Source organism: Homo sapiens, chromosome 19 (assembly GCF_000001405.40).
Source record: "Homo sapiens chromosome 19, GRCh38.p14 Primary Assembly".
In the NCBI taxonomy this organism is placed as follows: Eukaryota; Metazoa; Chordata; class Mammalia; order Primates; family Hominidae; genus Homo; species Homo sapiens.
In genome coordinates, this window is record NC_000019.10 from 51,284,932 (window position 1) to 51,308,987 (window position 24,056).

General features: G+C 47.3%; 4 annotated features.

Annotated features, from left to right (window-relative positions):
* Window positions 7,539–8,217: an enhancer, noted in NCBI's record as "OCT4-NANOG-H3K27ac-H3K4me1 hESC enhancer chr19:51795724-51796402 (GRCh37/hg19 assembly coordinates)". NCBI's record gives its function as "activates a minimal SCP1, AML or CMV promoter by ChIP-STARR-seq in naive and primed H9 embryonic stem cells {active_cell/tissue: H9 hESC(naive and primed)}" and the evidence as "EXISTENCE:reporter gene assay evidence [ECO:0000049][PMID:30033119]".
* Window positions 8,218–8,896: an enhancer, noted in NCBI's record as "OCT4-NANOG-H3K27ac-H3K4me1 hESC enhancer chr19:51796403-51797081 (GRCh37/hg19 assembly coordinates)". NCBI's record gives its function as "activates a minimal SCP1, AML or CMV promoter by ChIP-STARR-seq in naive and primed H9 embryonic stem cells {active_cell/tissue: H9 hESC(naive and primed)}" and the evidence as "EXISTENCE:reporter gene assay evidence [ECO:0000049][PMID:30033119]".
* Window positions 9,575–10,253: an enhancer, noted in NCBI's record as "NANOG-H3K27ac-H3K4me1 hESC enhancer chr19:51797760-51798438 (GRCh37/hg19 assembly coordinates)". NCBI's record gives its function as "activates a minimal SCP1, AML or CMV promoter by ChIP-STARR-seq in primed H9 embryonic stem cells {active_cell/tissue: H9 hESC(primed)}" and the evidence as "EXISTENCE:reporter gene assay evidence [ECO:0000049][PMID:30033119]".
* Window positions 11,612–12,289: an enhancer, noted in NCBI's record as "H3K4me1 hESC enhancer chr19:51799797-51800474 (GRCh37/hg19 assembly coordinates)". NCBI's record gives its function as "activates a minimal SCP1, AML or CMV promoter by ChIP-STARR-seq in primed H9 embryonic stem cells {active_cell/tissue: H9 hESC(primed)}" and the evidence as "EXISTENCE:reporter gene assay evidence [ECO:0000049][PMID:30033119]".

The window sequence follows — 24,056 nt, forward strand, 5'->3', positions numbered from 1 at the left end:
AGTCTTGTAATTTTTAAATTGGATTTAAATTAATTTGCTTGATGTAATTACTGGTGCATTTAAATACTGATGGTATTTCAATATACCATCCTAGTTTGTCCCATATGTTTCTTTTTTTCCCTTTACTTGTCTTCATTTGGATTGGCTGGGTATTTTTATCAATCCATTCTTTTCTTTCTACTAGTTGAAAATTATGCAATTATATGTTTTTTAAATATTCTTTTACTGGTTACCCAGAAATCACCACATCTATACTTCAGTTATCAAAGTATATATTTGATAATTTCAAAGTATAAAACCTTTACCCTCCTCCAGATAACATAAAGACCTTAGAACAGTTGAACTCTAGTTTTCCTCCTCACAACTTACATGCTATTTTTATAACATGCTTTGTGGCATTTTATCAATTCCAATATACATGTTATTTCACATTCGAACATCTCTGAAATAGAGATATGTCTTCAACCGATGGTGATTTACAGTTGCTGTTGGTCTCAGGTGGCAGTCCTGATAAAGTTGTCATTGCCTGCAGGTGCCTGAACTCTTGTCATTGCTGTTCATATTATCACTGTAATTGAATTATTTGTTCATTGATACATGTTTAATTTATTGCCTTTTCAAACATTTGCAAAAGTATTACATTATTAGCTGCCACTGAAACAAAGTTATGGTGTATACAGAAGGGCACAGAAGTAAAAGAGTAAGCATACCTTCCATTCTGTGACACCTGTAACATTTGTTTGAGAAATGACCAGAATTCCATATTTTTTGTAAAGCAACAATCTGGTGCTTTATAGAACCTAGGAAAGAGAGATACCCACATGTGGATGAAGCCATGTTACTTTTTCTTGTAAGATAAAAAGCAAAAGGGTAATTTATCTCATAAACTGTCAATGCAAATGAAACCAGAAGGAATTGCTTAATCCTTCGGAAGACATTTTTAAAATTTAAATTAACATGACATTGGATGATTCATGTGCTGTTCAGGACTATGTTAGTTCTTAATAGTTTAACTGGCAACATTTTTTTCCCTTAGTGATATATAAATTATGCATCTTACTATTAATGGCATTTTATTATTAATGAAATACCAATTCTATATTTTTGAGCCCCCAAAGACGTCATCATCATCTTTGGTTTTATTTCGTACATTCACTGCTCATTTTGATTTACATATATATTTACCATAGTCTCTATTCTTTATTCCTTACATTCTGTTAGTATTCTCAGATCTTCCATCCAGAATCTTTTTTCCTGAAATATATTCTAGAAAGCTGTTTAGAATTGGTTTTCTGGTAGCAAACATTCTTGGTTTTTTCTCTCACTTTCTCTCTCTCTCTCTCTCTCTCTCTCTACCCGCCCCCCGACTCTCTCTCCCTCTCCCTTCATAGTTGAAAGATATTTTGGCCAGATGTGGTGGCTCATGTCTGTAATCCCAGCACTTTGGGAGGCCAAGGTGGGTGGATCACTTGAGGCCAGAAGTTTTAGACCAGCCAGGCCAACATGGTGAAACCCTGTCTCTACTGAAAATACAAAAAACAAAAATAGCCAGATTTGGTAGTGTCCACCTGTAATCCCAGCTACTCGAGAGGCTGAGGCAGGAGAATCGCCTGAACCCTGGAGGCAGAGGCTGCAGTGAGCTGAGATTGTGCCACTGCACTCCAGTCTGGACCACAGAGTGAGACTCTGTCTCAAAAAAAAAAAAAGGTATATTTGCCAAGTTTGGAATGCTGCATCGGCAGGCATTTTCTTTCAGTATCTTGAACTATTCCATGTTCCATTATATCTTGCTTCTATTATCACAGGAGAAAAGTCAGCCATGACTCTCATCTGCTGCTCCTTTGAAAATGATCTCTCCTTATCTGTCTCTGCCTTTAAGACCTCTTTGTCTCTGACATTTCCGGTTTGGCCTCACACTTTACACTTTCATAACACCAACTTGCCTATTTGTCTGTGACACATGCGTTTCTTGTCCTGCAGCTTTGCTGATATGTGGCTTCTGCCCAATACTCCCCCTCCTCTGCATTTCATTTTCTACCCCTGCTCCCCTCTCACACCTGGCTGACATTTACTCATCATTTAGGACTCAACCTACAGCCCCTCCATCACATGCTCTGGAAAACTTCCCCGGGCCTCTCTCCGGGGCCAGGTGTCTTTTCAGGACTCCTGTAGGTCTCCTGGACTTTTGGGTATTAGCACTAACACTTTTACTTTGATGTGACTGAGTGTGGATATCATTTTTTTAGATTTGTCTTTATTTATATTTATTTGGCCTCTTCAATCTATGCTTTGGTGTCTTTCATCAGTTCTGGAAAGATTCTTAACCACTGTTTATATTGCCTCTGCTCTTTGTTTTCATCATAGGGCTCTCATCTAATGTTTGTCAAACTTTTTTATCTGTTTCCCTTCTTACCCTGTGTCCTGTATTTTCCAGAGAGAGGGAGTCAAGTAAACAAGTACTAGGTTAGAGGTCTGTATGAGGGAGTTGCTAAGAGAACCCTACTCTTTCACTGTCTCTCCATCCTTGGGGCAGAGGTAGGGGATCAGTATTGCCCAGAAAATCCTTTAGCTTGCCTCTAATCAACTCCCTCCAACTTCACACTCTGTCAGTATGCCAGGTGTTTCCCTCTTTCCCCCAGTCTCTTATCTCATCCCGTCATGTTCAGCAATAAGGTTTACCTACTTCCAAGGAAAAAATCAGCTCCCCAACACATACAACGTTATTACCATTGACATTGAGTGATGTACTCCCTGCCTTTTTTAGGGAAAGAGGCTTTCTTCCTCCTGTCCAAGGTAAGCTCCACCTTCTCTGCTTGGGAATCCTTCTCCTCCACTGCCTTAGGAGCTGTACTCCATCAATCATCCCTTCTGGCTCCTAAATTTTCAATCATTCTTTCTTTGCTGGCACAAATCTCTCCCGCCTCAGCCCCACAGGCTTCCTCTATGTACTATCCAATATTCTTTCGAGAAAGTATCTTACACCACTTCCTGATTCTCATCACTCTTCCACTTGCTCCCCAGCACCAGGCCACTGACATGACATTGTCTAAAGCAACCAGTTATCCTTATTCTCAATGTTATTCTCAAAATCCAGTGGCAGGTGTTCTTTCTCTTGTTCACCTTTAGGCAGCATTTAGGATTGGGGTTGGTGGGGTGAGGATCTCCCACCCAGTGGCTTATTTTCATAGCAAGGAAAGCATGGCAAGGCTGTCTGCTGAAAATGACATGGGTGGGAGCATGGGGAATCCATGGGGAATTGAGAAGAAGTGTGATGTGTTAGGGTGGTTGGAATAGCCACTGGGGAGAATGAGCAGGATCTGTATAAGGACAAGGAGAGCAACCACTGAGCAGTAGCCAAGGCCCATTGGTTACTGGAGATTAGTAATCGTTAATGGTGGCAAGCATCATTGCTATGTGACATCTCCTCCCAGCAGCAGTCATTGGAAGACGTCTTAGTCCATTCAGCCTGCTATAACAGAATACATAGACTGGGTGGCTTATAAACAAAAGAAATTTACTTCTCCCAGTTCTGAAGGCTGGGAAGTTCAGGATCAAGTCACCAGAAGATTTGGTGTCTGGTGAGGGCCTGCTTCTTGGTTCACAGATGGCACCTTCTGGTTGTGTCCTCACATGGTGTACAGGGAAAGGGAGTTATCTGGGCTCCCTTTATAAAGGCACTACAATCCCATTCATGAGGGCTACACACTCCCGACCTAATCACTCCCCAAAGGCCCCAGCTCCAAATACTAAAACACTGGAGATTATGTTTCAGCAGAAGAATTTTGGAGGAACACAAATATTCAGACTATAGCAGAAAAAAAGGAGTAGATGATGGCATTGGTCTAGGTTTGAGTATTCATGGACAAGATGCCAGGAAGGGTGATGGAGTGGGGAGGTTGGAGACGGGCAAGCAAGGAGGCTGGAAGGAGAAAGAGAGCGCTTTAACTGGGGAGCCGTTGTACCTAGTGGGGTGGGGAGGGAGGAAAGGAAGAGAAACAGAGAGTCTTCATAGACTCTAGAAAATATAGTGTCTTGGAATTGAAGCTTCCACCTGTGATATCATATAATGGGAACAGTTGGAAGGGGAGCACCAAAAAACTGGATGGATAGAAGAACTAGGCAGATCATGAGGTATTGGAATTTACATTTTCATAAGTGGAAAAGTTTTGGGAGATAATGAACCCTTGGTAGTTAAAGGAAACAGTTGCATTCATCAGGTCTCTTCCAGTTGTGAGTTATAAGGGCTGAATTCAACAAGCTCAAAGAGAAAGGGAACAGTTCTGGTCATCTGTTGCTATGTCTCTACCCCTGTCTTAGTCCATCTGGGCTACTACAACACAATGCCATAGATTGGGTGTTTTGTGCGTAACAGAGATTTATTTCTCTCAGTTCTGGAAGCTAGGAAGTCCAAGGTCAGGGTGCCAGCAGGTTCAGTGTCTGGTGAGGGCTCTTTTCCTTATAGATGACATCTTCTCACTGTGTCCCCACTTGGTGGAAGGGACTGGGGTCTCGCTGAGGTCTCTTTTATAAAGGCTTTTGTCTCATTCAGGAGGGTTCCATCCTCATGAACTAATCACCTCCCAAAGGCCCCACCTCCAAATACGATCACTTGAGGGTTAGGATTTCAACATGTGAATTTGAGCGGGGGGTGTAAACATTCAGATCATAGCAATCCCCCAAAATACAGTGGCTTCAAACAATAATCATTTTAGTATTTTTCATGATTTCCTAGATTAGGAATTTGGGCAGGGCCCAGCTGGGTGATTCTTTTGCTCCCTGTGGTGTCACTGGAGGTCACTTGAGTTGGGCTAGCATGGAGAATCCAAAATGCTTTCATTCACAAACCAGGCATTTTGGTGTGGATGGCCAGAAGGTGAGGCTCAGCTGGGCCCCTCTTTCTTTCCATGTGGGCTCCGAGTCTCTCCATGTGCTCTCTTCCAAAGCAGAAGCTGCCAGTCCTCTTAAAGGACAGGCCCAGAATCAATAGCACATCACTTCCACAGCATTCTCTTAGAGCAAGTCACAGGCTGGCCAAGATTCAAAGGAAGAAGAAATAGATTCCACCTGTCCTTAGGAAAACTATCCAAGGATTTGCCACCATTTTTAATCTGCTGTAGGAACAGATTGACTGTTAAGTCTAAAGGCACGTATTAGTTTGCAGGCGCTGCCATAACAAAATACCACAGACTAAGTGGCTTAAACAACAGAAATTTGAGGCTGGGCACGGTGGCTCACGCCTGTAATCCCAGCACTTTGGGAGGCCGAGGCAGGCTGATCATCTGAGGTCAGGAGTTTGAGACCAGCCTGACCAACATGGAGAAACCCCATCTCTACTAAAAATACAAAATTAGCTGGGTGTGGTGGCGCATGCCTGTAGTCCCAGCTACTCGGGAGGCTGAAGCAGGAGAATCACTTGAACCTGGGAGGCGGAGGTTGCAGTGAGCTGAGATCATGCCATTGCACTCCAGCCTGGGCAACAAGGGCAAAACTCCGTCTCAAAAAACAAACAAACAAACAAAAACGGAAGTTTGTCCTCCCAGCATTCTGGAGGCTGGGAGTCCATGATCAAGGTGTCAGCAGTGTTGGTTTCTCCTGAGGCCTCTCTCCTCACTCTCTTACTGCCTCTTCTCATGGTCATACCTCTGTGCACACACCCCTCGGTCTCTCCCTCTTCATGTAAGGTGCTATGGTCTGAATGTCTGTATGCCCCTACCCCTGCTAATTCATTTGTTGGAATCCTAACCCCCAAGATGATGGTGTTTGGAGGTGGGGCCTTGGGAGGTGATTAGGTCATAAAGGTGGAGTCCTCATGAATAGGATTAGCGCCCTAATAGAAGAGCCCCCAGAGAGCCATCTCCTCCCTTTCACCACATGAGGACCCAGCTAGAATTTGCTATCCATGAACCAGGAAGCAAGCCTTGCCCAGACGTCAAATATACCAGTGCTGTGATCTTGGGCTTTACAGCCTCTAGAAGTATAAGAAATAAATTTCTGTTGCTTATAAGCCACCCAGTCTATGGCACCTTGTGATAGCAGCATGGACAGACTAAGAAATAAGGACACCAGTCATATAGGATTAAGGCCCCACCTGAACAGCCTTCATTTAACTTGAGGCGCTATTTCCAAAAACAGTCGCATAGACTATGGCCCACCCATAATGATCTCATTTAACCTTAATAACCCCTTAAAAGGCCCTATCTCCAAACATGGTTACATTCTGAGCTACTGGGGGTTGAGACTTCAACATATATATTTGTGGGGACACAATTCCACCCGTGACAGGCGGATCTACACTTCAGGCATGTCTGAATCCAGGCATGCAGATGGCTTCACCAAGAGTCTGTCTGTCCCCACCCTATGGCTCTGTTTCCTTCTGGTTAACGTGAGCTCTGGAGGCTCTCTTCACCTTACAGGCAAGATGGCCAGCCCCAGATTCACGTCCTCCTCTCTTAGCTAACTCCAGCTGACAGAGAACTTGTCTTCTCGTGGTGATTTAGCAATCCCAGGGAAGACTGATTGGCTCTACCTGAGTCAAGGGTCGATGCCACCTCTAACAGCCCATCCCAGCTGGCTCCCCCAGGAAGGGATTCCAGCCACCACCAACAAAAAGGAACTGGCCTCAGAAGCTCTGGGAGCTGACATGTCGGGGTGACAATTGGGTCTGTCCATGGGAATGTCAAAGGCGCCCAAAATGATGACAGAAATCTGGGGACAGAAAGACTGAGAGTCAAGCATAAAAATCCTCTGGGAATACAGAGGCCTGGCCTAGGGGGTTGCCAGTGACAGAAATGAGAGGAAGGGGATGTTCTGGCCCAATAGCCAGAGGCTCAAAGTAGCAGAAGGAGACTCTTTCTTCAGAGGATGAGGGTTCTAAAACAGAAGGGTAACTTCCTGACGTTGCCATGGCATCTGTAACCTGTCATGGTGCTGGTGGGGGTGTAGCAGTGAGGACGACCAGAGGTCACTCTTGTCGCCATCTTGGTTTTGGTGGGTTTTGGCCAGCTTCTTTACTGCAAGCTGTTTTATCAGCAAGGTCTTTATGACCTGTATTTTGTGCCGACCTCCTATCTCATCCTGTGACTTAGAATGCCTTCACTGTCCAGGAATGCAGCCCAGTAGGTCTCAGCCTTATTTTACCCAGCCCCTGTTCAAGATGGAGTTACTCTGGTTCAAATACCTCTGACAATATCGTAGAGCAAACCAGGCCTCAGGGAGGTGGACACTGAACGAGGACATATGCAGATGTGTAGGGACAAATGTTGGGAAGTGCCTGGAGGAAAACGGGGAGCTGGGAGAGAGTGTGGCAAGGGGACGGGGCGGGGAGCAGCCTTCAGGTACTTGCTCTGAGGCCTAAAGGAGTGTGGGGAGCTGCCCAGACTGAGGGAGCCGCAGTTCTAGGCTCTGAGATTGCAAAGGTTTATCGAGTTCAAGAGCCCAGCAGGGCCAGATGAGCTCAGAGCTTAAGGAGAGCTTGGGAGAGGCTAACCTGCTGGCAGAGCCTCAAGGGCTCTGGTGAGAAGTTTGGGTTTCATCTTCCCTCGTGGAGGGCTATTGCCTCTCATGCTTGGTCATCCTGGAAGGTGAGCTGCTCTCAGTGGGGACTTTACCTGCAAGAAGCATATGCGGACAATGTGGTGGGCAAGTCCCCCTGAAATGAGTTTTGTGTGAGTTGCCCAACAGCGAAACACACCGGGGGCTATTTGTGTTCATTGCTCACTTTGTCGCTCTCTGATGCAAATCTCTATAAATGGAGGCCTCAGCTTCTAAGATAAATACAAAAAGGTTTTTTTTTGCCACCGAAAGCCCAGGCCAAAATAGACATGCTTCCTTGTCATTCCCTTGATCAATGACTAGATTTTTTTTCTGGCGCCCCCCTTGATGTGGGGGTGTCATATCCAGGTTGCTACCTAGTATGGACCCAAGGCCTTGTTGTCTGCTGTCACTGGACCATTTAAAGCAAGTCCCTTGGTAATCATAACAGCAAGCCCCCGCTTCCCCACAACCCAGCAGTGTGCAGCCAACCCTCAGTTGATGCGTGGCCTCTGATCTTCAGTCCCCAACGTCCTTACGACCTCAGCCCCATCAGTATTTTCGGATGTTTTTGTAGAGCAAGTGTTTTCAGACAGGAAATGGACGTTTGAATCTTATTGTCTGAACGCAGAAAGAAACAATGGAAGGATCTCCATTTGGGGAGGAACAGGTCGGGTCTTTAAAGCTTGCTCAGGCTGCTCTGCAGGGGACACGGGACAGAAGGACACAGCCGCCAGCCAGGGACCAGCAGGTGGCCCCTGCAGCTGCCAGAGCAAGAAAGGAAAGGGAACAGTTATATAATCCATGGGACAGCCATACAACAGAACAACACAGCTGTCAGAAAGAGCAAGGCGATGTGCCGGGCATGGACATGCAGACATGAGCCAGCAATATTCGAAGGAGGAAGAAAGGTGCAAAAAAAAAGACCTGTCCAAAACTGAAAAGTATATATGGAGACATCGCAGAGCAGCAAGAGAAGCAGGAATGGACCAGACACGAAGGGCCACCAGGCTGAAGGGCTGGGCTGTGTCCTGGGGGGACTGGGAAGCCATGGGAGGGCTGTGAGCAGGAGAGGAGCCGGGCAGCTCTGGGGGACAGAGTGAATTCCAGGAGGCCCAGAAAGAAGCTTGGGAGAGGGTCCACGCCAAGACAATAGAGGTTCTTATCCCCATTTGACGGCGTGGGGTGGGGCTGTGCTGGTCTCAGAACCAGGAAGCGGAGGAAGCTGGTGTTCTGGGCCCAGCCCAGGGCTCCTTCTGGGAACTGGACGGGGCAGGGACTGAGCACAGCATTCACCACGGGGCTTCCTGCCTTAGAATGAAGATGCTTACCTGGTGGGAGGAGCATCAGAGTCCCAAGGCCAAAGAAGGCTTGCCCCTTAAGAAACCAGAGCTGCTGGAGGAAACAGAAGTACCCAAAATGCCTGAAGCTGACACCCCACCAGACCGGGCTGGAGGTAAGTCCCTGGGACAGTCACAGGCAGACTGTCAAGCAACAGGGCCGCAGGCCAGGGCCCCCACCCCATCACCTGGCAGAACCCCGGGGAGGCACTTGTTCAGGACGGAGAGACCCAGGCCCCCTCGCCCCACACAGCAGATGCTACATTTGCCAAAACAAAGCCCCACAGACTGGGCGGCTTGAACGGCAGATACTGATTTTCTCCCCCTCTGGAGGCTGGAAATCCCAGGTCAAGGTGCCAGCAGCAGAGCTTCCTTCTGAGGCCTCTCACCTTGGCCGGTAGATGCTGTCTTCTCCCTGTGTCCTCACAGGGTCATCCCTCTGCGTGTGCCTGGGTCCTAATTTCCTTCCCTTGTAAGGACACCAGTCATTGAATTCAGGCCCATCATGTGACATCACTTAACCTTAATCACCGATGTTAAGACCTTGTCTCCAATACAGTCACATTCTGAGTCACTGGGGGTTAGGATGTCAACATATGAATGATGGGGGGTGGGGTGGATCCACACTTCCGCTCATAACAGAGGCTTAAGGAGGCTGCTTGGATTCCCCCGTGTTGGGTACTTAGAGAGGGGATTGGGCTTGTCTAAGGCAGCGGAGCAACCGACTGTGGTTCTCCCAAAGTCTAGGGCTCTGGAGAGAAAGAAGAGTGTAGACTCCGAGATGGATCACGGCATGCGGCCCAGGACGTGGAAACCTGGCCCAGGCAGAGGTGCGACTCCATCCCAGACTCCAGACCCAGAGGCCGTCGCCCGGCTCTCACCCATTTCCTGGGGAAACATGCCCCGGGGCCTCCCCAGCGCCAGCCCTCATGTTAGCCAATGTAGGGGACACGCCTAACACCTGACACCTGCCCAAGGGACACGCCACCCCAGCAGCCAGGCTGACAGGAGCAGAAACAAAACACACAGGGATACGCCAGGCGGGCAGCACCAGGAAACAGGCTGCTGCCGCCACAGGGGCCGCTGTGAGCCCAGAATGGATCCAACCCAGCCTCAGCCTTCTTCAGAGAGAGAAACTGAAGCATGCTCAGCACGATGGGAAGTGGCTGAAACCCTGAAGAACCCCCAAGAGCACATCCACGGAGACACTGGGAACCATGAGGCCCCAGCCTCTGCACATCTGCATTGCAAACAGGGAAACTGAGGCTCACCGTGCCTCGGGCCACACTGCAAGGCTGTGCACTGCTCAGGACTCCGGAACCCGGGACCCTTGTCCCCCGCTGCAGCAGCTGACCCTGTCCTGGACATTTTCTCCTGACTTTATGAGACTCTAGTGCAGAGGTTGCAAACTCAGATGCTCACAGCCACCAGGCAGGGAACAAGAGGGGCACAGTTGGCCTAATGGGGGCCGTGTCTGTCTTGAAAGCAGCTGCCCCTCCTGAAGGCGGCGGCTCACAGTGGCGGAACTCCCTCCGACTCCTCCCCACCCCCTCCCCACAGGTCAGGAACACGGGGAGACTACAGCTAGCTCTTCATATTTTTTTTTGTTTGTCTTTTGAGGAGAATCCAGAGATCTCGATTTCAGTGTGAAATATCTTGATTCCGGCACATTAGCAATTGAGAACATGTTTTTAAAAGGCAGCGCCGCGTGGGTCAAAGAAAAACCCTGATGAGCCTTCTCATTTGCAAACTCAGATCAGAGGCATAGATGTGGAGGGGACTCCTGCTCCCTGAACACCCTTCCTGCCCACAGCAGGCGGGGTTATTCAGAACGCAGACGCTTTGCCAAGGGCAACAAGAATCCCCAGGTTCTGGGAGGAAGCTTGTGTGTGGAAGAGTAAGGAGGGATTTCTAGGTAGAGAAAAACATTCCAGGTGTTCACTCATGTCACTCATGTGGCCACAAATCCCCGGAGGCCTCCTGTGTGCCAGGCCGCGGGCTGGGGACAAAGAGAAGTCAGACCCAGGTCCTGCCCATAAGACCTCCAGGTTGTTACACCCTTCGAGCAGGGCCAGGGCTGTGTCCCAAGAAGCATGGGGAGAGGGGAGGGGAGGAGGAGCTGGCATTGAGGGAGGGAGGGCTTGACCCGGCTCGGGGAGCTGAGTGTTGCTACCTGAGCCCAGCAGGCATGCAGGGAGAGGTGACAGCACCGCCAGGCACAGAAAGCTGCAAGATTGAAGGCAGGAGGCATGGTGCTGGGGGGTCAGAGCACTCCAGCAAGGGCAGAGCAAGCAGCATTTCTAGGGCAGGAGGCAGACAATGGTGAGAACTGAGCCAGGCAAGGGGCCACAGGCTGCGCCTGGGTAAAGCTCCCTGCAAACAGGCCTCAACTGTCGCCCCGCTCACCCTCAGGAGAAACAAGGGAGGAGCTGATACCTGGGGGATCAGCTTCCCCCTCTCTCTGAAGGACATGCACAGTGGTGACAATGTCCCTGAGTTTGACTTCAGTCCTGATCCCCCACCAATTGAAAGGTCGTGGGGACTAGGAGGGTGACTTCAGGAAAAATGTGGCATCCATATGGGTGGGCTGAGGGATGAGCGCAGCAGGGGCCCAGCAGCTCCACAGATACAGGTGAGATTGGAAAGTGGAATCATCTCCCAAGAAGTGGATATTGGGCTGAACTCTTTCCCCAGAGTCAAGGGAAAGACACAAGAGGGCACTCCAGGTCAGACAGACAGATGGGGTCTAATACCAGGCTGTGTTTCCCCGTCTAGGCTGAGGTCACTGCCGGCTCCTCAAGATTCCCTGTAGGGACCAGAGGGGGCTGAGTCCATGGAGCAAACCGCTAATTGGCCAGTGGTCAGTTGTGTGCATTTGTACATCTACAAGGAGAGGATCCAAGGAGGAGGCCATGGCAGGTGGCTCTGTACAAACCTCTGTTCCCTCAGGAGATGACGGAAGCAGCCGTGATCACTGTCCTGGCCAGGACTGAGGGTGACCCAAGCCCTCACAGGCCTTCATTCACTTAAGCCAGAGACCCTGTGGAATCGGTCCCATTATCATGCCCATTTTACAGAGGAGGAAACTGAGGCCCAGAGAGGCTCAGAAGCCTCCCTGAGGTTACGTTCCTACCTTCTGAGACAGATGCTATCCCCCTGCCCTTACCCACAAGGAAGTTGAAGTTCACAAAGGGGAGGTCCTTCCAGAATCTCACAGCCTGGGGACAAAGCCAGATTTGAGATGGCCCTGCCCTCTCCTGCCTGCTCCTAGGAGCAAGGCCCATCAGGATCACATCAGGCTCACTTCTCCCCATTCCAGAGTGCAGACTGTGGAAGGGAACTGTCTGGGGCCCTGCAGCCACTTCAGGCTTTGCTGGCTCCAGGAGCAGGTCTAGGCTCTCCCTCCCATTGACCCTCAAAGTCTAGTCTCTCTGTCTCTGTTTCTCTCTCTCTCTCAATTCCATGCACTCTCTGTGTGCCCTGTACCCTGCTAAATTTGGAGAATGGCTGTGGATAGGGCTGCCACCATCCCTTCCTCTCCCAGATGCGGATTCCCCCAACCATGGGACACTGCAGGGTGGGGGGGTCCGTGGGATCATGAACTTCTTCTGCAGTGGCCACTTGGACAACAGAGCTGAGCCACCTGTGTTTACATCCCAGCTCTGGCCCTGAGTGTGGGCCACTCCCATGTTCCCTAACCCCAGCTTTCACCTGCAAAATGGGGGTATAGCATACCGTGGATCACTGTGAGGCACAGAGGAGTTCATGTTTATTCAGGAACCAGCTCGGGGTTAAGGGCACGGTGACGGCAGCCTGTGTCTGTTGCACACTGTGTCTGTGCCAGGCCATGTTCTAAGCACATTACATGGGTCCTCTTGTTTATATCCATCAGGGTTCCACCAGGGAAACAGAACGAGTAGCTGATCCTTATACAAAGGCTTATTGCATGGGAGTGGCTTATGTGATTCTGAGAGCTGGCTAGGCAGGTGCTATGGACTGGATGTCTGTGTCTCGCCAACATTTTTAAGTTGAAACTTAACCCCCACTATGATGCGGTCTGGAGGCCTCGGTGTGGACTGCTACAACAAAATACCATAGACTGAGTGGCTTATAAACACAAGAAATTCATTTCTCACAGTTCGGGAAGCTGGGAAGTCTAAGACTTCTTATTTCTTCTCCTGGGCAACCTCCATTCTGCTCTTAAGGCCTTTTTGGGATGTGATTAGGTTATGTAGGTGGAACTTTCATGAATGGGATTCATGCCCTAAGATGGCCGGGCATGGTGGTTCATGCCTGTAATCCCGGCACTTTGGGAGGCTGAGGCAGGAGGATAACTTTAGCTCAGGAGTTTGAGACCAGTATGGGCAACCTGGCGAAACCCCATCTCTACTAAAACTACAAAAATTAGCCAGGCATGGTGGCACATGCGTTTGGTCCCAGCTACTCGGAGGATGAGGCAGGAGGATCACTTGAGCCTGGGAGGTGGAGGTTGTGCCACTGCACTCCAACCTAGGTGACAGAGCCAAACCCTGCCAAAAAAAAAAAAAAGACCTAAGAGGCCAGACGTTTCCTCTTCTACCATGTGAAGACATAGCATAAGGCACTGTCTGTGAACCAGGATGCCGGCCCTCACCAGACACTGAACATGCTGGTGCCTGGATCTTGGACTTCCCAGCTCCCAGAACTGTGAGAATTGAATTTCTTGTGTTTATAAGCCACCCAGTCTGTGGTATTTTGTTGTAGCAGTCCACACCGAGTAAGACAGCAGGTGTGAAGTCTGTAGGGCAGGCAGGCAGGAGGGGCAGTCTGGAAACTCCAGCAGCAGCTGAAGCGAAATTCTTTCTTTTCCCGGGAAACCCCCATTCTGCTTTTGAGGCCTTTCAACTGATTGAATCAGACCCACCTACATTATTGAGGATAATCTCCTTCACTTAAAGTCAACTGATTAGAGCAAAAACAACAACAAAAAGGTAACTATGAGACGTGACGGATATGTTAATTTGCTTGACAGTAGTAATCATCTGATTATGTATATATATATATATATCAAAACATCATGTTGTATACCTTAAATGTATACAGCATAGTCAACTGATTAGAGACGTCAGTCACAGCTACAAAATCCTTCCACAGCGACATGTCTCAGTGTTTGGTTGAGCAGCTGGGGTCTGTAACACAGCCAGGTTGGCACATAAACAGACCATCGCACTGCTGGTCCCCACCATGGCCCTGTGAGGTGGGTTCTGAGATTATCCCCATCCTGTAGAAAAGGATGAGGAGACTCAGAGAGGATAAGGAGCCCGCCTGACTGAACAAACGGCCGAGACACCTGAGCCAGGGCTGGGAACGCCCCTTCCTCACCCCCCCGCGCCACGTCCCATCCAACCTTGCTCAGGGAATGCTTCAGCTGCTATTATTAGCACCAAGCTCGGCTCCAGGGACATGGCACAAAAAAGAAAAGTACATCTCAAAGTGGGTAACCATACCTGACCTTGTCCTAGGAAACAGAGAGTCGGGGAGGGACGTCTTTGAAGATGAGAAGAGTTCAGTCAATGAAAGGGATAGGAACTAATTTATTCTCTCAAAAATATACTAAGGGCCAGGCGCGGTGGCTCATGCCTGTAATCCCAGCACTTTGGGAGGCCGGGGTAGGCGGATCGCTTGAAGTCAACGTGGTGAAACCTTGTCTCTACTAAAAATACAAAAAGTTAGCTAGCTGGGTATGGTGGAGTGCACCTGTAGCCCCAGCCACTCCGGAGGCTGAGGCAGGAGAATTGCTTGAGCCTGGGAGGTGGAGGTTGCAGTGAGCCAAGATCGTGCCACTACACTCAAGCCTGGGTGACAGAGCAAGACTCCCTTTAAATATATACTGAGGCTGGCTATGATGGTATGCACCTGTAGTCCCAGCTACTCTGGAAGCCAAGGCAGGAGGATTATTTGAGGCCAGGAATTTGAGACCAACCTGGACAACACAGCAAGACGCCATCTCTACAAAAAATAAAAATAATAGCTGGGCATGGTGGCATACACCTATAGTCCCAGCTACTTGGGAGGCTGAGACAAGAGGATAGCTTGAGGCCAAGCACAGTGGCTCACACCTGTAATCCCAGCACTTTGGGAAGCTGAGGCAGGAGGATCACTTGAGCCCAGGAGTTTGAAACCAGCCTGGGGAATACAGTGACACCCCACCTCTATAAAAAGTTTTTAAAATTAGCATGCAGCCAGGCGCAGTGGCTCATGCCTGTAATCCCAGCAGCACTTTGGGAGTCCGAGGTGGGCAGATCACCTGAAGTCAGGAGTTCGAGACCAGCCTGGCCAACATGGCGAAACCCCGTCTCTACTAAAAATATAAAAATCAGCCCGGCGTGGCAGCGGGCACCTGTAATCCCAGCTACTCAGGAAGCTGAGGCAGGAGGATCGCTTGAACCTGGGAGGCAGAGGTTGCAGTGAGCCGAGATTGTGCCACTGCACTCCAACCTGGGTGACGAGAGTGAAACTCCATCATCTCAAAAAAAAAAAAATTAAAATTTTAAAAAAGAATTAATTATTTTGGAAAGCCTTTGCATGAATAAGGCATGAATCTTTGAACACCCCTGAGATTTCTAAGCATTGTGTTCAGTGGGCTTCAGGCCTTGACTCATGCCCTGCAAAGCCCCCTAGCAGAATGGAACGCTCTCCATGAATAAAGATAAAAGCCAAAGATGGTGCTAGGTCAGCGAGGTCCTGGCCTGAAAAAGACAGTCCCCTCCAGTGGGATTTCTTAAACAGACTGTCTAATAAAGGTACGATTTGCAGAGGTGCGAGCAGTGTTAGGGATGTAGGGATGGTAAGGATCTCAGGTGCCAGCAATGGGAGGAGAAGTTTCCTGCCAGATTCTGCTGAGTCCTGGAGGAACAAAGGGAGGAATGGTATGACCGAGGCCTTAGTGAGAACTGGGATCATGGAAGAGGGGCTGCTGATGGCACTGAGGCTCCCACCTTGGGAGCAGCAGGCAGGGAGGAGGGGATCCTCCAGCCCCTTCCAGTATTCTGCCTGTGCCTCCCTTTGACCAAACCCACCTCGAAGTTGAAGGGCAAGGGAGCTTGCTGATGGGGTCAGTAGAGGTCAGCCTCATAGGCAGAGGGGATGGAGGAGGGATGGTGTGGTGGACTGAATGATGGCCCTCAGAGACATCAGTCCTAACGCCTGGACCTAATGCCTGTGCATGCTACCTGATAAGGAGAAAGGGTCATTGCAGATGTGATGAAGTTGAGGCTCTTGAGATGAGATTACCCGGGTTTATCCAGCTGGTCCCTAAATGCAATCACAGGTGTCCTTTTCTTTCTTTATTTTTTTTATTTTTTATTTTTTATTTTTTGAAACAGGGTCTCACTCTGTCACCCAGACTGGAGTGCAATGGCAGGATCTCAGCTCACTGCACTGCAACCTCTGCCTGGGTTCAAACGATTCTCCAGCTTCAGCCTCCCGTGTAGCTGGAACTACAGGCACAAGCCACGCAATTTGTCTTTTTTGTAGAGACAGGGTTTCACCATGTTGGCCAAGCTGGTCTCGAACTCCTGGGCTCCAGCTCTCCTCCCACTTAGGCCTCCCAAAGTGCTGGGATTACAGGTGTGAGACACATTGCCCGGCTCACAGGTATCCTTATAAGAGGGAGTCAGGCCAGGCACAGTGGCTCATGCCTGTAATCTCAACACTTTGGGTGGCAGAGGCAGGAGGATTGCTTGAGCCTGGGAGGTCGGGGCTGCAGTGAGCTATGATCATGCATAGCTATATCTCTGTCCATTCAACTACCATCCAGACCAAGAAGTAGGACGTGCCTACTGCAGAAGGCTCCCTTCCACGTACCTCCTGCTGGATCTCCATGACATGTCTCCTCCCGGACTCTCCCCAACCAGAGTAATTACAATTCTCACATCTGTTGCCATGGATCATTTTTGCCAGGTATGAGACTTCATATAAATGGAATCATACGGTAGTAATCTCTTGTATCTGGCACTTTTCACTCCACATTATGCCTGTGAGTTTCCACCATGTTTTAGCACGTATCAATAGCTCATTCCATTTTATTAATGAATCGTATTCCATGGTATGAGTCTATATTAATTCATTTACACATTCACCTGTTGCTGGATATTTAGCTATCTTCAGTTTGAGACTTGCATAAATGAAGCTGCAGTAAACATTCATTTGCCAGTCTTTGTGGACATATTGTTTTTATTTCTCATGGATAAATAACTGGGGTGAAATTGCTGGATCATAGGAGTGCTCAGCTTTAGTAGACACTGACAAAACATTCCCCAAAGCAATCGTGCCCATTTACACTCCCACCAATGATACAAGAGAGTTCCAGCACTTGTTATTGTCAGTCCTTTTCATTTTAGTCATTCTGGCAGCAGAGTAAGAGTATCTCCTCATAGTTTTGATTTGATCTCCCTGATAACTTATGCTGAATTCTTTTTCATGTGATTATTATTACTATTATTTTTTGGTCTGGAGTCTTGCTCTTTCACCCAGGCTGGAGTGCAGTGGCACAATCTTGGCTCACTGCAGCCTCTGCCTCCCAGGTTCAAGCGATTCTCCTGCCTCAGCTTCCTGAGTTGCTGGGACTACAGGCACGTGCCACTACACCTGGCTAATTTTTGTATTTTTAGTAGAGACAGAGTTTCACCATGTTGGCCCAGCTGGTCTCAAACTCCTGACCTCAGGTGATCCACCCCCTTGGCCTTCCAAAATGCTGGAATGACAGGTGTGAGCCACTGCACCTGGCCTGAATATCCTTTTTTTTTTTGTAAAGTGCTTGTTCATGTCTTTTGCCCATTTTAAAAATCAAGATGTCTCCTTTTTGTTGATTTGTGAGAGTTCTTTATATATTCTGGATATAAGTTTGTTATCAAGTGCACATATGGCAGATATCTTCTGTCATATTCTGAGGATATAGGAAGAAAACTAAAGTTTTCGGCTCACTGCAACCTCTGCCTCCTGGGTTCAAACGATTCTCCCCCTTCAGCCTCCCTAGTGCCTGGGATTACAGGTGTGCGCCACCACACCTGGCTAATTTTTGTATCTTTAGTAGAGATGGAATTTCGCCATGTTGGCCAGGCTGGTCTTGAACTCCTGGCTTCAAGTGATCCGCCCACCTTGGGCTCCCAAAGTGCTGGGTAGAGCTGCCAGGCCCTCAGCAGGTGCACCACCCTCCAGGAACCTCCATGTGTTCAGCTATCCAGAAGCTCTCTGAACCCAGTCCCTTTGGGTTTTTAAGGAGGCTTCATTACAGAGGCATGGCTAATTAAAGCATTGGCCTCTGGTGATGAACTCAACCTTCAGCCCCTCCCTCCTTCCGAGAAATTGGGAGGTGGGCTGAAAGTCCCAACCCTATAATCCTGCCTTGACCTTTCTTGTGACCAGACCCTATCCTGAAGCTACCAGCCATTAGTCAATTAATTAGCATACAGAAGACATCGCTTTGGAGGTTCCAAGCATTTAGGAGTTGTATGTCAGGAAAGGGGCAGGAGGAATGAAGACCAAATATGTATTTCACACTATCACACCATTCACCCCTGGTCTTTGGACATGGTTCCCTTATACCAAAAGAATATACAACTCAAAAGATACTGCCACGTTACTAGAATCCCATTCAATCATGACTAATTGGTTCAGTCCATCATATTGTATGAATGTCTCCCAGAGTAAGACCACTCAAGTTTGCAGCCTTCCATTCTATCTTGTCAGGTTCTAAAAGCAGGAGTGGTCTCTGCACACATATAGTTTCACCCTCTCAGGCATCTGGTATAATTGAGCTAAGAGACAATGTCATCCCATGTTCTGAGCATCTTTCAAGGTGTTAACGTAATATTAGATTTCCTTCATTACATAACCCATTTATTCATTCCTTTACCTTCAGCTACCATTCTTCCTTCTCTTCATTTATATACAAACTTTTCCATCTTTGCAAGGAACACTGTGCTTGTCTGGACTGCAGGCAGCAATACTAGTCTAGCAAGTACCTGCCCCACAATCCACTCCCATTCAGACTGGGTAAGGTTACACAGGTGCAGAACCAGTGGGCTGGTTTCACTACCAGACAATATAGCTGCATCCACTATTAGCCCCAGTTTTGCCAGATAGGGTGGAGGTACAATCTGCCTCTATCAGGCCTTTAGGGAATTCTGACAAAAAAGGGATATGAAGAGATTTGTTAAAGGATGCAAAATTATAGCTAGATAGGAGGAATGAGTTCTAGTGTTCTATAGCACTGTAGGATGACTCCAGTTAACAATAATATATAGCTTCAAATAGCTGGAAGGGGGATAGTGAATGTTCCCAACACAAAGAAATGAAACATTTTTGCAATGATGGATATGTGAATTACCCTGATTCAATCACTATACACTGTGTGTATCGAAATATCACTATGTACCCTGTAAATATATACGATTATTATATGTCAAGTACAAAAAAAAATAACCAACAAACAAAATAACATAGCTACATTTTTTTGCTTAGGAATCATCCCTGCTTCCAGCACTTGTAGTTTCAAGACCTGGTTCTCGTCCTAGTGTTACTAACATGCCAGGGGTTTAGTCTAGTTCCCATTGCTAGATGCACAGAAAGCCAACCCCTGAGACAATAAGGGTTGCCAGGGAAGAAGATTTTAACTGGGTGCTGAAGCCAAGGAGAATGGGAAATCAGTCTCAAATTCACTTCTGACGGACTAAAACTGGGGGGTTTATATAGTGGTGAAGGAATGTAAAACAGGAATTAGGGAGGAGTAAGGAAGCAATTGAGAAATGAGGGATTTAGTCTCTCGTTGTCTGTGTGGTATAATCTGGTGAGTTTCAGTCCTTTGCCTGAAGGTCAGTTCCAAAGGAAAGAACTCAAGTGAGACAAATGTAAATTTCAAATTTTAACACTAAAAGGGTCACTTTCTAGGTTTATTCAAAAACTCAGCAGGTGAGATGGCTCACTCACACCTGTAGTCCCAGCACTTCTGGAGGCTGAGGCAGGAGGATTGCTTGAGGCCAGGAGTTTGAGATCAGCCTGGCCAACATGGCGTGACCCTGTCTCTACAAAAAAGTTTAAAACTTGTCAGGCATGCTGGCATGCATCTGTAGGATATGCAGGAAGCTAAAGTAGGAGGATCACTTGAGCCCAGGAGATGGAGGTTGAAATGAGCCAGGTTTGCACCACTGCACTCCAGCTTGGATGACAGAGCCAGACCCTGCCTCAAAAAAAACAAAATAGTAAATGCCACTTCTATGGGACAATTGGGTTGGTTTTACTAGGACCACTGCATCAGGTAGGAGAAAAAAATGAGGTTATATCTGGAAGAAAGAAAAAAATATATAGTCATTATAGCAACTTGGTAAGAATTGCATAGCCACACCAGCATTCTCCCTACCCCCACTTTCCCAGGTCAACCAGAAAACAGGAAAGTCTAGTGGTGACGCTCCTCTAGTCCCATCAGGTTGAGTGTGAGCACACAGGAGGGCATGTAAGCCAAATCTTCCTGTTTTTTTTTAAATTTTTATTTTTATGGGTACATTAAAAAAAATTATGGCTACATCCTTCATGCTTTTATCTCCCCTGTTTTTGACAACCAAAGTTTTAATTGCTCATTCCACTTCTTGATCAAATTATTACCCAAAGGACAGCTCTCTGCCCATTGCTGGACATTATGGGCTAGACAGTGTGTTCCTTGGTCGGAAGAAATGACGGCAGCCTGTGCAAATGTGTGTAATATATTCTGTTCTGATTCTTTTACAGCACTCTGAGCATTTGCATCTTCCACTGGGTAAGCAAAGGCCAGCCCAGAGTCAGCGTCTATTCCTGTCAAGACCCATTTGTAGCCCCCCAGGGCTACCAGCATCAGCCTCACTTGCCAGCTGTGCTTGGGACCTTCCCACCAGGGAATCTGGCCCATAGCCATCTGCAGCTTCTGTCTCTCCTGCTGGCAAACAGAACAGTTCTTATTGGCATTATGTGCCTGAGAGGGTGCAATAGAAACATATTTAGATTCAGCCCATCTCTGCACTGCTGCAGTGCCCTCATGTCCTCTCATTTCATGCACCCAGGTGGCCACCCAGTGAGCACACAGGGATATCTGCTTGTCGATTTCAATCACCTTCCAGACCTGGAAGAGAGCTCTTCTGGTGGGCATTGACATGTCCTACCTTAAGGACCCCTCAAATTTCCAAAGGGCTGTGTGTGTCCCATATGGACATCCCTTTAATAGGCTAGGTTTCCATTATCCACCTGCTTGACTATATGGCCAAGCCATTGGCCACTGCCTGTGAGTCAGTAAAAACCCACACGGAAGGGCTTTTACCACTGTTCAATTCTTCAGCATGCAATTCAGCTCACTGGACGGATTTGTTTTTATCTTCTTTGATCAGAATGGCATCCTTCTAAATAGAACGTGGTCTTTTCATCTTGGCACTGTCATCTGCACACCAAGCAGCTCTTTGTTGGCTAGTTGAGAGCTGTTTATAGGGCACTGTCCAAGTGGCAGTAGGATCCAGCTGCTCCCCATACGCTTCCAGAGTCAGTCCGAGGGAGAAAGAGGCTCCTTTTTTATTAGTATCTCCTCCTTGCATTCCCTAGGTAGCATGATCCTGTATAAATCATTTCTAATTTATTAGGGGACTCTTCTGGGCATTTTAATCTCCATTAGAGTGTTTTTAAACATAATCCAAGAGATTATTGGTATTTCAGGCTTCAAGATCATTTTATGTCCTCAGTCATAGGGGTAGCTTGAATTAATATCCCATAGAAAGTAGTATTATGCTCTTCAAATTGAAATTCTGTAGTCCAGAGTCTCAGTAGTTGTCACTGGAAGGTGCTTATAGGCTGTTCCCATAGGCCCCAGTCTGGGTTCCATACAGGGCTCTGTCTCAGAGAATTTGTCCATAGCATCACTCTGTCTTCTATTCTACATTTTGTGGGCTCCAGAGATCTGACTGGTTCCTATTTAGCATGTCCAATTAATATTGATTAAAGGCAGATTTACATGGCTTTTGTTTCATAATGCTAGGTATGGGAAACATTTCCCAGTCTGATACAACATCCATCCCCATAATATAATCAGGTAAAATCACTTCAGAGAAAATGTGTTCAAATATACCAACTCTCCTATAAAGGTTTATCTTAATTCCACCAACCCTCACTTTCCTAACTGTAGCCTCTATTAGAACTTTATCAATGGTTTTTGGTTTCACAATACTACAACCCTTAAATTTTTACATTCTCTCAATCTAATCCCAAGTCAGGACTTCACCAATGGATGTTGGTACCATAGTCAGTGGACCTCCCATATCAAGGAGTCCCATGAATTTCTCTTCTGCATCCCTGATCATTTTGTCCACTTGTGTACATAAGGCTTTAGGTCCCCATCAGGGCGTTGAGCAAAAGAACTCTTGCTTGTTGGTTAATCTTTATCTTGATTAAACTGCCAGACTATTGCCCCAGAAAATTTCAGATCAGATGTCTTATTTTAATCTTTGCTTTCTGACTTTTAAAATTTCTCCAAACTAAGGTAAATACAGCAAACTTTTTTGGAACCCTTTAATGTTAGGGAACCAACAAGTACTCCCTTTGGCCCACCCAACCTTAAATAGTATTATATTAAGACTTTTGTTCTAACTCCATCAATTTCTGTTTTACTCATCCCACTTCTGACACCAAATCTGAGGCTATAGGGAAGACAACCAAAGTGCTTTTTCTATTCTCTCACTTAACAATCAACACTTCTCTTTTGATTGGTGTCACCAAGAATTGTGTAGGGATTTCTCCCCACCAGCAACCAATTAATCAGTTCTGCAGTGGACACGAATTGGGTGTACTCCAATTCAATCCTCATACATCTACCTGGACTTCACAGCAGATCCCACAAGTTGAGGGCTTGGTCCCACAAGACTGTCCCCCACTTCCAATGCCAATTGTAGGCTCCAGGTTCTTTACCTGTGCTTCTGACTGACCAGCTATAAATTGGGGTTCCATAACACCTTTCTCTTCAATTAATTTTTTAGAGCAGCTCAAAGAACTTAGAAAAACACTTATGCTTACCAGTTTATTATAAAGGATATTACAAAGGATACAGGTGAAGAGACGCACAGGGTGAGGTGCAGGGGAAGGAGAATGGAGTTGCCATGCCCTCTCCAGGCATGCCACCTTCCAGGAACCTCCGTGTGTTCAACTGTCCGGAAGCCCCCTAAACCCAGTCTTTTGCGGTTTTTTAATGGAACATTCATTACATACGCATGATTGATTAAATCATTGCCCATTGGTGCTCCACTTAACTTTCACTCCCTCTCCCTTCCACAGAGGCTGGGAGATGAGCTGAAAGTCCCAACCTTTTAATCATGCCTTGTTCTTTCCTGTGACCAACCCCCATACTGAAGCTACCTGGGGCTTGCCAGTGGACGTAGCGGGGGTGTTATGAAGACCAAATATATATTTCACAGTATCACACATTTATAGCTCTTGGGATGTAAAAAATTCTCCATGTCTCTTTGTCCTCACCTGTGAAATAGGGATAAAGATAAGTGCTGCCTCAGAAGGGTGTCATGATGCTTCAAGGAGATAATATGTACAAAGTGCTTAGAAAGATCCCTACACCGAGTAAGCACTCATATTTTATCAGGCATGGGATGGGCCATTTCAGGAAGAGGGAGCTCCTGTTCTCATCCTAAGTCTGAACGGTCCGGAATTCAAAGAGGATCAATAAATGGCCTTTCACCAGGATCACAATGGATTTTGTAGAGTGGTGGGCTGGCAAGCTGATTCAGTGTTCACCATTGCTGTGGTGTAAATCCTCCCAACATGGCCAGTTTCAAGCTAATAATGGTTTAACACCTGGCTTGCACAATTTCTGAAAATTTAATAATCAGCTCTTTTGAGCCAGTGCAAGCCACCTGCAGAACACCATTAACTTTTGCATCACCCAGTTTTGTGAACGCAGGCAGGTCTCTTCCTCCCTCTGTATCTTACTTCCCTCCATCTCTCCAAACGGAGCTAAGCCATCCGACTCACTCATGCAGTACGTATTTATTTGAGTACGTACTACATGTCAGTCACTAGGTTGGGCTCTGGAAATCCAGCCTTGAACAAAAGCAGACCAAAACAAAAACAAAAAACTCCGTGAAGCTTACATTCTGGAAGTGGGAGTAGGGGGAGAGCAACTAAAAATAA